The sequence below is a fragment of the Homo sapiens genome, chromosome 6 (assembly GCF_000001405.40).
Source record: "Homo sapiens chromosome 6, GRCh38.p14 Primary Assembly".
NCBI classification, from domain to species: domain Eukaryota; kingdom Metazoa; phylum Chordata; class Mammalia; order Primates; family Hominidae; genus Homo; species Homo sapiens.
In genome coordinates, this window is record NC_000006.12 from 34,742,165 (window position 1) to 34,754,378 (window position 12,214).

Consider the following 12,214-nt stretch of genomic DNA (forward strand, 5'->3'; position numbering starts at 1 on the left):
CTATATGCATGTCCCATAATGTATTTAACCAGGCCCTTGTTGATGGGGATTTAAGTTTACAGACTTTTGCTCTCTTTTCCAAAGAGTGCTTCAATGAGTAATCTTGTATACACATCATTTTGCAATCCTGTAACTATAACTGTAGGATAAATTCCTAGAAATGGAATTGGTGAGTTACCAGGTATATACACAGGGAATTTTCGTAGACACTGTCGAACTGTCTTCAACAGGAACTATTTCAATTTACACATGTATGACGGTTCCTATTTACCTATAATCATGGCTATTCAAAGTGATATCAATTTTTTGGATTTTTACTAATCCAGTAAGTGATAAATGGTATCTCAGTAATTTTTAATTTAAATTCATCTTGTAGTGAGGATGACTATTTTTTCAGATGTATAAAGGACATTTATATATACATTTCCTTTTCATTTGTATTTTTCTATTGAGTTGATGGTAATTTTACTGTTATTTTGTAGGAGCTCTTTATATAATATATCCAACATCTTTTAAAAAGTCAGGCTAGGCCGGGCATGGTGGCTCATGCCTGTAATCCCAGCAATTTGGGAGGCCGAGGCGGGCGGATCATGAGGTCAGGAGATGGAGACCATCCTGGCTAACACAGTGAAACCCTGTCTCTACTAGAAATATAAAAAATTAGCCGGGCGTGGTGGCAGGCGCCTGTAGTCCCAGCTACTCAAGAGGCTGAGGCAGGAGAATGGCGTGAACCCGGGAGGCGGAGTTTGCAGTGAGCTGAGATCGTGCCACTGCACTCCAGCCTGGGTGACAGAGCAATACTCTGTCTCCAAAAAAAAAAAAAAAAAAAGTCAGGCTAGTCCCGGCTGGGTGCGGTGGCTCACGCCTGTAATCCCAGAACTTTGGGAGGCCAAGGTGGGCCAATCACCTGAGGTCGGGAGTTGGAGACAAGCTGACCAACATGAAGAAACCCAGTCTCTACTAAAAATACAAAATTAGCCAGGCATGGTGGCGCACACCTGTAATCCCAGCTATTTGGGAGGCTGAAGCAGAAGAATCGCTTGAACCCAGGAGGCAGAGGTTGCAGTGAGCTGAGATCATGCCATTGCATTCCAGCCTGGGCAACAAGAGCGAAACACCATCTCAAAAAAAAAAAAAAAAAAGGCTAGTCCCAAGGTAGTGAGTTACCTTAATCGATTGCTCCCACTAAGTTACAGATCAAACTCCTTGTTTACTCTTTTTTTTTTTTTTTTTTTTTTTGGTAGAGAAGAGATCTCCCTATGTTGCCCAGGCTGGTAACTCCCGGGCTCAAGTGATCCTCCTATGTCAGTTTCCCAGAGTGCTGGAATTACAGGTGTGACCCACTGCACCTGGCTGTTCTACTCTTTCCTTCTTCCTCACTGCTTTGACTACACTTAAATAAATAGGCTGGGATGGTGGCTCATGCCTATAATCCCCAAAATTCAAAAATTAGCTGGATGTCCAGCCAGGAGTGGTGGCTCACTCCTGTAATCCCAGCACTTTGGGAAGCCAAGGCAGGAGGACTGCTTGAGCTCAGGAGTTCAAGACAAGCCTGGACAACACAGTGAGACCTCTTGGCTACAAATAATAAAAAAAACTAGCTGGGCATGGTGACACATGTCTGTGGTCCCAGGTACCCAGGAGGCTGAGGGTAGGGGAATTCCTTGAGCCCAGGCAGTTGAGGCTGCAGTGAGCTGTGATCCCGCCACTGCACTCCAGCTTGGGCAACAGAGTGAGATCATGTCTCAAAAAAAGAGAAAAAAATCCTAAAAACAAAAAACAAAAACAAATGTGGTGGTGTGACTGTAGTTCCAGCTGCTGCTCTTAGGGAGGCTGAGGCAGGACGATTGCTTGAGCCCAGGAGTTCAAGGTTACAGTGAACCATGATCATGCCACTACACCCCAGCCTGGGCAAGAGAATGAGACCCTGCCTCTAAATCAGTACATGAATAAAAATAAAAAGTCAGGTTTAGCTTTTCCAGCCCCGGCCCCGGCCCCTGCAGCCGCAGAGATGTTGATGCCTAAGAAGAACCGGATTGCCATTTATGAACTCCTTTTTAAGAAGGGAGTCATGGTGGCCAAGAAGGATGTCCACATGCCTAAGCACCCGGAGCTGGCAGACAAGAATGTGCCCAACCTTCATGTCATGAAAGCCATGCAGTCTCTCTAGTCCCGAGGCTACGTGAAGGAACAGTTTGCCTGGAGACATTTCTACTGGTACCTTACCAATGAGGGTATCCAGTATCTCCATGATTACCTTCATCTGCCCCCGGAGATTGTGCCTGCCACCCTACGCCGTAGGCATCCAGAGACTGGCAGGCCTCGGCCTAAAGGTCTGGAGGGTGAGCAACCTGCGAGACTCACAAGATGGGAAGCTGACAGAGATACCTACAGACAGAGTGCTGTGCCACCTGGTGCCGACAAGAAAGCCGAGTCTGGGGCTGGGTCAGCAACTGAATTCCAGTTTAGAGGCGGATTTGGTTGTGGACATAGTCAGCTACCTCAGTAAAATTGGAGAGGATTCTTTTGCGTTGAATAAACTTACAACCAAAAAGAAAAAAAAAAGTCAGGTTTAATGAGGGTATAATTTACATACAATAAGATACACCTGCCAGGTGTGGTGGCTCACTCCTATAATCCTAGCACTTTGGGAGGCTGAGGCAGGAGGATCACTTGAGGCTAGGAGTTCAAGATCAGCCTGGGCAACATAAAAATCCCATCTTAAAAAAAAAAAGTTAAAAAAAAAGACATAAAATATATACCTTTTAGGGGAGCTATCCCTTTTATGTGGAAGGCGTTCCAGCTGGGGGCTACATGTTGGTGATTTGAAGTCTCTATGTGAAAAAAATGAGCTTCAGCCATTGCAGCAAAGGAGTTACTTGGGGCAGGTTGCACTCGGGTCTGGACTGTGGCGGTCTCAGGTGTACAGGCAGTGTATTCAATGGAAAGTGGGTAAGCGCTGGACTCTATTTGGGCTCAAATTCTCTTTTTCCCACATATTAACTATGCAATCTTGTTCAGATTATATCATCTCCTTCAGTCTCAGTTTCCTTATCAGTAAAAAAAGCTTCAAAATCAAATCCCATCAGATAACATAATGAAAGCACATTGCCTAGTGCTGACACAAACTAGGTGCTTAATAAATGTTAGTTTCCCTTCTCTCCCAGTAAAAGCCAAGCCACTAAAAGATAACATGCCATAGGGCAGCAGAATGGCGTATGTGTGTGGGTGTGTTTGTGTGTTTGTATGTGTCTCATTCCCAACCACAACCTCAGGTTCTGCTGGAGTATGAAGCCATATAGAGGCCACTCATGATCCTGTTTCCAGCTTGCCACCCCTAGAATCAGACTGAAAGCTTCCTGCGCTAATAGAATACTCCCTGACCAAAGATCATATCTATCTAAGAAAAGACATTTCAAGAGTGAGTCATAGGGCCGGCGGGGTGGCTCATGCCTGTCATCCCAACACTTTGAGAGGCTGAGGTGGGCAGATAGATTGGGCCCAGAAGTTCAAGACTAGCCTGGGCAATACCGTGAAACCCAGTCTCTTCAAAAAAATGCAAAAGATATGGTGGCATGCATCTGTAGTCCCAGCTACTCGGGAGGCTGGGGTGGGAGGATCACTTGAGCCCGGGAGGCAGAGGTTGCAGTGAGCTGAGATCGTACCACTGCATTCCAGCCTGGGTGACAGATTGAGAACTTGTCTCAAAAAAATAAAAAATAAAAAAGTGAGTAATAACACCTCTTCAATAAGCTGCTACTCAAAACTACCCTGCCAAACCCGTTCTTCTGCCTTAGTGATTAGTGCCTGCCCAGCTTCCGCCTAACACCACAACCTGTTGGTCCAACAGCTTTAGATTAATAAAGAGGTTCAACAAAGAACATGTTCCCCAGGCCCTGGGACTTTGGCCTTTTCTATTCTCAGTAGTGAGCCCTTTGTTTACTGTGAGGGAGCCAGGACAGTAACAGCAGAACTAACGAATAATTATTTCCTTCCCACATAGCCAGGCAAAGATGGGTGGTGTCTGCCACCACCTTGTAGGTGCCAGATGGGCATCCTCATCGTAGTCTTAGTGTTGTTCTCATTTGCCCAGGCTAGGTGGAGAAAGCTTTGTCTCCAGATACCCATGGCCTTGGAAAGCAGCAGCTAGGTCACCTCCCAAGCGATTTCACTTGCAGGGTAGAGTGGGATGAAGATTGCCAGCCACAGTCATCCCAGCCACAGCTATGTTTACACCTACCTGGGAGGCCTGGCGTGAGCTTTTACATCCCTACATCCAGCTGTTGTTTCCAAATAGAAAGATCCAGTTTTAGCCTTCTGAGTCCACTTCATGGCCACAAGCTCTCAGTTCAAAATGAAAAGTTAGCAGGGAAGGCCACAATGGTATGATCTTTCTCAGTGAGGCATCCATCAACAGATCAACAGCTCTGGAAGTATCACTCAGAGTACAGAAGCAAGTCTGTCTTTGGAATTCAGCCTCTCCCCTGCACTTCAGGGCCCTGAGGTTTGGCAATGGAACTAAGAATTGTAGATTCTGAAGAGTGCTTAACAGATGGAGGAGTCAACAGCCAACGATGGCTACAAAGCGAAGCTGATATGATGGAGTAGAAACAAGGTGTAAAAACAAACAAAACAACAAAGTGAAGCTGAAGTATCTTATTGGGAGAAGAAAAATGCCTCTCCAGTTCCACAGCTCATCCCCTGTGTGACCCTGAAGAGGTTTGGAGGGATTCCTGGATTTGGAATTCAAGAGACCTAGGTTTTGGGTACTTATTCTTACTGACAGTCCCAACACTATCCACCAATTACTGCATGCTTACCATGCAGTGCTAAGTGCTTTATTATTCGTTTTTTGTTTGTTTGTTTGTTTTTTGAGACGGAGTCTCGCTCTGTCACCCAGGCTGGAGTGCAGTGGCGCGATCTCGGCTTACTGCAAGCTCCGCCTCCCAGGTTCACTCCATTCTCCTGCCTCAGCCTCTTGAGTAGCTGGGACTACAGGCACCCGCCACCACGCCCGGCTAACTTTTTGTATTTTTAGTAGAGATGGGGTTTCACCGTGTTAGTCAGGATGGTCTCAATCTCTTGACCTCGTGATCCGCCTGTCTTGGCCTCCCAAAGTGCTGGGATTACAGGCATGAGCCACCACACCCTGCCAAGTGCTTTAAGAGAATGATCTTAATCAGCCCTCACAGCCATGACCCTCTGAAGGAGGTACTATTATCATCTCCATTTTACAGATGAGAAAGCTGAGACACAAAGAGGTTAAGCAACTTCCCCAAGATCAAAGCAGCAGCTTGTGGTGATACTGGGATTCAAACACAGGCAGACTGGATCTAGAGGCTGTGCTCATGACCACTGTGCTACTGCCTTTTGATAAAGTTGTCTTATCATAGTCCTTACCAAAAAAGGCTGCAATTCTTTGTTTAAATGCTTATGTCCCACACTAAACTTGAAGATGGGCACAGTGTGTTACTCATTTTCCTATTAATGGTGGCCAACAGAGACCTGAACACAAAGAGAATGCTCAGTAAACATTTGTTGAATAACTATTACTTTTTGTGTTTCAGCATTGTGGAAAGATATAGGAGAGTTGAGGAAGGTGTAGTTTACTATGGAACTAAGGACTCAAGTCTTCTGGTGGTGACAATGGAAATTACCACCTTAAACTGGTACCTCCTTTGAGTTAGGCTTTGCAGACTGGGTTAGGCAAGACCAGTGGTTGCAGCTGTACATACCATTTTGGGCCCAGGATGCGTTTTTATACTTCTTCTTTGACAACAGTACTCCCCCAAGTTTTGGGTATTCCTCCTTCTCTCCCTAAGGTTTAAGTGGGACTGGCAATCACAGTTTTCTACTCATCCCCAACCAAGGAGGATTCTTGATGTATAAGTGTGCCCATTTAGGTCCTTCCCTGGCTTCTGGCATTATGTGCTAGAAGAATGGAAGTTTGGAGATAAATGAGGCTGTCCCATCTGTGTGGAGGAAACCAGGCTGCAACGTGGGACAATGAGGCCAGTGTGCAAAGAGAAGCAAACAAGCAGAGATGAGAAAAGGAGAGAGACCGAGTGACATTATTTCAGGCCCTAAGTCAATCACACCTGAGGATAAATCTACCCTTCAATGTCCCAGCTTGCTGAGCCTCTATATCCTATTTACCTAAGCAGGTTTAAGTAGGGTTTTGTCATATGCAACTAGAAAATTTCTTCCAGGCATAAGCCACCACACCCGGCCTACTGGAAGAATTTTTTAGGAAGGGATAAAGCTAAGTAACTCAACTGGTTAATTTACATAGACTGTTATATTAAAATAGCAGATATGAGTTGTAATAATTAAAACACTTGGTAGAGGCAAATCAATAGACCAATGAAACAGACCAGAAAGCCCAGAGGTTAAATAGAATGTAGAGGAGTTTAGCCTATAATAAAATAGGATTTCAAATTGGTAGGAAAAATGATAGATTTTCAAAAACTGGTGCTAGGATAACTAGGTTGATGTTTGTGAAAAGAAAAATTAGCATAGATCCCTCTTCCACACCTTACTTTAAAATAAGTTCCAGATGGATAAAGGATATAAACATGAAAAAAATAAAATAATAAAAGAATCAGAAAAAATGAGCTAGGCATAGTGGCTCACACCTATAATCCCAGCACTTTGGGAGGCCAACGCGGGAGGATCACTTGAGTCCAGGAGTTCAAGACCAGCCTGGGTAACATAGCAAGACTTTGTCTCTAAAAAAATTTTTTTTAATTATTAGCCAGGCATGGTGGTATGTGCCTATAGTACCAGCTGCTTGGGAGGCTCAGGTGGGAGGACTGCTTGAGCCCAAAAGGCCAAGGCTGCAGTGAGCTATGACTGCACCACCACACTCCAGCCTGAGTGACAGAGTGAGACTGTCTTTCTTTTTTTCTCTTTCAGTGAGATGCAGTTAGAGGTCCTTCTCAAAAGAAAAAAAAAAAGAAGAAAGAAAGAAAGAAAAAAAGAAAAGAAAAATATGTGGGAGAATTTATTTTTTTATTTTTTTTGAGATGGAGTCTTGCTCTTTCACCCAAGCTGGAGTGCAGTGGCATGATCTCGACTCACTGCAGCCTCTGCCTCCCAGGTTCAAGCGATTCTCATGCCTCAGCCTCCTGAGTAGCTGGGACTGCAGGCATGTGCCACCATGCCCAGCTAATTTTTGTATTTTTAGTAGAGACGGGGTTTTGCCATGTTGGCCAGGCTGGTCTCAAACTCCTGACCTCAGGCAATCTACCTACCTCTGCCTCCCAAAGTGCTGGGATTACAGGCGTGAGCCACCATGCCCAGCCAATGTGTGAGAGAATTTAAACAAATAATCTTAGAAAGGTGAAGGCCTATCTACATGTGACATAAAACCCAGAAGTCAAAAAAGAAAAGATAAATAAGTTTGACCAACATACAAATTAAAACCTTTTTTTCAGGATAAAAACTACCCAAAATAATGCCAAAGACAAATAACAAGTGGAAAAATATCTGCAAATCATATAAGAGGCATGGAGTTAATTTCCTTAATATATGAAGAGCTCTCTACAAATCAATAAGAAAAGGATGAGACTAGGGCCAGGCATGGTGGCTCATGCCTGTAATCCCAGCACTTTGGGAGGCCAAGGCAGGCAGATTACGAGGTCGGGAGATCGAGATCATACTGGCTAAGATGGTGAAACCCTGTCTCTCCTAAAAAATACAAAAAAATTAGCTGAGCATGGTGGTGGGTGCCTGTAGTCCCAGCTACTCGGGAGGCTGAGGCAGGAGAGTGGTGTGAACCCGGGAGGCAGAGCCTGCAGTGAGCTGAGATCCCACTACTGCACTCCAGCCTGGGCGATAGATCGAGACTCCATCTCAAAAAAAAAAAAAAAAAGAAAGAAAAAGAAAAACGAAAAAGAAAAAAAGGATGAGACTAACAATATAACAGATAAAGGGGCAAAGAATATAAAAAGGCAGTCAGGCAATCCCAGTACTTTAGGAGGCCAAGGCAGGTGGATCATTTGAGGTCAGGAATTAGGACACCAGCCTAGCCAACGTGGTGAAAGCTCGTCTCTACAAAAAATACAAAAATTAGCCAGGTGTGGTGGCGGGCGCCTGTAATCCCAGCTACCTGGGAGGCTGAGGCATGAGAATCACTTGAGCCCAGGAGATGGAGTTTGTAGTGAGCCAAGATCACACCACTGCACTCCAACCTGGGTGACAGAGTGAGACTCTGTCGCAAACCAGCCTGGGTGGGACAGAGTGAGACTCTGTCTCAAACCAACCTGGGTGACAGAGTGAGACTCTGTCAGAAAAAAAAAAAAGGCAATCTACAAAGAAGGATCTGTGAAATATTTTTTTTTTTTTTTTGGGACAGGGTCTCATTCTGTCGCCTGGGCTGTAGTGCAGTGGCACAATCACGACTGAGTACAGCCTTAGTCTCCTGGGCTTAAGTGATCCTCCCACCTTAGCCTTCTGAGTAGCTGAAACTACAGGTGTGTGACACCATGCCTGGCTAATATTTGTATTTTTTGTAGAGACAGGGTCTCACCATGTTGCCCAGGCTCATTGGACTTTTTAACATATGAAATATATTCACCTTTATTCATATGGAGAAACACAAATTAAAATTATAATACAGCCAGGCACAGTGGCTCACGCCTGTGCACTTTGGGAGGCCGAAGTGGGCAGATCACTTGAGGCCAAGAGTTCAAGACCAGCCTGGCAAACATGCTGAAATCCCAACTCCACCAAAAATACAAAAATTAGCCAGGTGTGGTGGCGTGCACCTGTAATCTCAGCTACTTGGGAGGCTGAGGCATGAGAATCACTTGAACCCAGGAGGCAGAGTTTGCAGTGTGCCAAGACTCGGCCACTGCACTCCAGCCTCGGTGACAGAGTGAGACTCTGTCTCAAAAAAGAAATGATAACACAATGCCATTTTTTATTTATCAGATACGGTAAAAAAGCACTCTCAAATATAACCACAATGAAGGGCGATTTAGCATTATTTTTCAAAATTACAAATGCAAAGAAAGCTCTTCAACCTAGCAATTTCACTCCTAGAATTTTATCTTTTTTTTTTCCTTTCTTTTTTTGAGATGGAGTTTTGCTCGTTGCCCATGCTGGAGTGCAATGGCACGGTCTTGGCTCACTGCAACCTCTGCCTCCCGGGTTCAAGTGATTCTCCTGCCTCAGCTTCCCAAGTAGCTGGGATTACAGGTGTGTGCCACCACGCCTGGCTAATTTTTCTATTTTTAGTAGAGAATGTTTCACCATGTTTTCATGGTTTCATCATGTTGGCCAGGCTGGTTGCGAACTTCTGACCTCAGGTGATCCACCCACCTTGGCCTCCCAAAGTGCTGGGATTACAAGTGTGAGCCACCGCACCCAGCCAATCTTTTTTATTTATTTTATTTATTTTTTTGAGACAGATTCTCACTCTGTCACCTAGGCTGGAGTGCAATGGTGCCGTCTCCCCTCACTGCAACCTCCACCTCCTGGGTCCAAGTGATTCTCCTGCCCCAGTCTCCCGAGTAGCTGGGATTACAGGTGCGTGCCACCACACCTGGCTAATTTTTCTACTTTTAGTAGAGACAGGGTTTCACCATCTTGGTCAGGCTGGTCTTGAACTCCTGACTTCAGGTGATCCACCCGCCTCGGCCTCCCAAAGTGCTGGGATTATAGGTCTGAGCCACAGTGCCCAGCCCAAACTTTATCTTATAAACATATTTGCATGTCTGTGAATTAATGATGTACTGCAGCATCACTAAATTAGAAAGAGACAGGAAACAATTTAAGCATTCATCAATAAAGGACTGATTAATATATGGAGGTACATCTACACAACGAAATACTATGCATCTGTAAAACAGAACCAGGAAACATATTTTTGTTTGCATATGGATAATCTTTTTCTGGAAAGATATGTAAGAAACTGGGAACAAGGGGCTGGGTGCGGTGGCTTACGCCTGTAATCCCAGCACTTTAGGAGGCCAAGGCAGGTGGATCACTTGAGGCCAGGAGTTCAAGATCAGCCTGGCCAACATGGTGAAACCCTGTGTCTACTAAAAATAGAAAAATTAGCTGGGCGTGGCAGTGCACACCTGTAGTCCCAGCTACTGGGGAGGCTGAGGCAGGAGAATCACTTGAACCCGGGAGGTGGAGGTTGCAGTGATCCAAGAGCACACCATTGCACTCCAGCCTGGGCTACAGAGTGAGACTCTGTCTCTATAAAAAAAAAAAAAAAAAAAGAGGCCGGGCGTGGTGGCTCATGCCTGTAATCCCAGCACTTTGGGAGGTTGAGTTGGGTGAATCACGAGGTCAGGAGATTGAGACCACCCTGGCTAACACAGTGAAACCCCATCTCTACTAAAAATACAAAAATTAGCTGGCCATGGTAGTGGGCGCCTGTAGTCCCAGCTACTCGGGAGGCTGAGGCAGGAGAATGGCGTGAACCTGGAAGGCGGAGATTGCAGTGAGCTGAGATCGCGCCACTGTACTCAAGACTGGGCGACAGAGCAAGGCTCTCTCTCAAAAAAAAAAAAAAAAAAAAAAAAAAAAAAAAAAAGAAGAAGTAAAGAAAAAGAAAAGAAACTGGGAACAAGGGTGTGGCTAGGAAACATTTTTGTGGTTTTCTAATTTTCTACCATGTGTATACACTACCTATTCAAATATAAGTAAATAAAATACATTTTAAATGTAAAATACCTTAAGAACAACATAGATGTGTTATGAAGTAGATTACTAACTGTGAGTTTTTAGGACACCACGCAAGAGCACAAGATTTCAAGGGCATTTCAAGCTCAGGTGGGCACTAGGGATTTTGGCTATAGACCTAGAGGAATGAGGGTGACAAATGAACTCTCTCAGTTGCCTTGGACATTCAGAGAAAAAGTGTGAAAAGCACTGCTTTACAAGATAGCAGGGCCTATGGGCAGGAAATGATGGAGATACCCCTTGGGACTTGGAGATAAGGTCACTCTGAGCATATATACATATGTATATATACATATATGTCAAGGTCCAACCTGGAAAACCATTCTAAGTCTTTAAAACACAGGGAACAGGCTGGGCGCGGTGGCTCACGCCTGTAATCCCAGCACTTTGGGAGGCCGAGGTGGGCGGATCACGAGGTCAGGAGATCGAGACCATCCTGGCTAACATGGTGAAACCCCGTCTCTGCTAAAAAATACAAAAAATTAGCCGGGCATGGTGGCGGGCGCCTGTAGTCCCAGCTACTCGGGAGGCTGAGGCAGGAGAATGGCGTGAACCCGGGAAGCGGAGCTTGCAGTGAGCCGAGATTGTGCCGCTGCACTCCAGCCTGGGCGAGAGTGCGAGACTCCGTCTCAAAAAAAAAAAAAAAAAAAAACACAGGGAACTTAATCCAGATAAATGGTTTATACAGGTGTTGGCAGAGACAAAAAGCCAAACAGAATAGTCAAATAGCCCAGACAGAGATGAGTGACAGCAAGAAGCTACTGCCACCCTTACACTAGAGGGACAGGACAACACTGTGCTACCAGAGCTCAGGGTCTAGGATCAACTACTACAAGTTAGATCCAAGTAGGTTGTAGGAGACAGCCTGATGTTGAGGGGTGGGGAGAGGATGGATACTCTGGCTTGGAGGTGGTGTCAGGGTAGGAGATACTCTGGCTTTTTCCTTGATCTCTCCAATCTCCAGAAAATGCCTCCAATTGATGGAGCCCAGCAATTCAGCTTGGAAGTCAACCAGTATTGGAGTCCAGCCCATGCAGCCTTCATGGAGTCAGTCCACCACTGACTTTTTTTTTTTTTTATTTGAGTCGGAGTCTCGCTCTGTTGCCAGGCTAGAGTGCAGTGGCATGATCTCAGCTCACTGGAACCTCCACCTCCTGGGTTCAAGCCATTCTCCTGCCTCAGCCTCCTGAGTAGCTGGGACTACAGGTGCACACCACCATGCCCAGCTAATTTTTGTATTTTTAGTACAAACGGGTTTTCACCATGTTGGCCAGGATGGTCTTAATCTCTTGACCTCGCGATCTGTCCGCCTCGGCCTCCCAAAGTGTTGGGATTACAGGTGTGCGTGCCACCATGCCTGACCTTTTTTTTTTTTTAATAGTGATGGAGTCTCGCTCCACTGCCCAGGCTGGAGTGCCGTGGCCAGACCATAGCTCACTGTAGCCTCCAACTTCTGGGCTCAAGTGATCCTTCTACCTCAGCCTCCTGAGTAGCTGGGATTACCAGTGTGAGCTAC

At 45.4% G+C, this 12,214-nt stretch overlaps 1 pseudogene, besides 1 other annotated feature; it reads left to right on the plus strand.

The window, feature by feature from the left end:
* Positions 427-600: a silencer, noted in NCBI's record as "fragment chr6:34710368-34710541 (GRCh37/hg19 assembly coordinates)". NCBI's record gives its function as "represses an EF-1alpha promoter that drives an FKBP-Casp9 reporter gene in an ReSE screen in K562 erythroleukemia cells {active_cell/tissue: K562}" and the evidence as "EXISTENCE:reporter gene assay evidence [ECO:0000049][PMID:32094911]".
* Positions 1,976-2,554, plus strand: RPS10P13 (ribosomal protein S10 pseudogene 13; annotated as a pseudogene).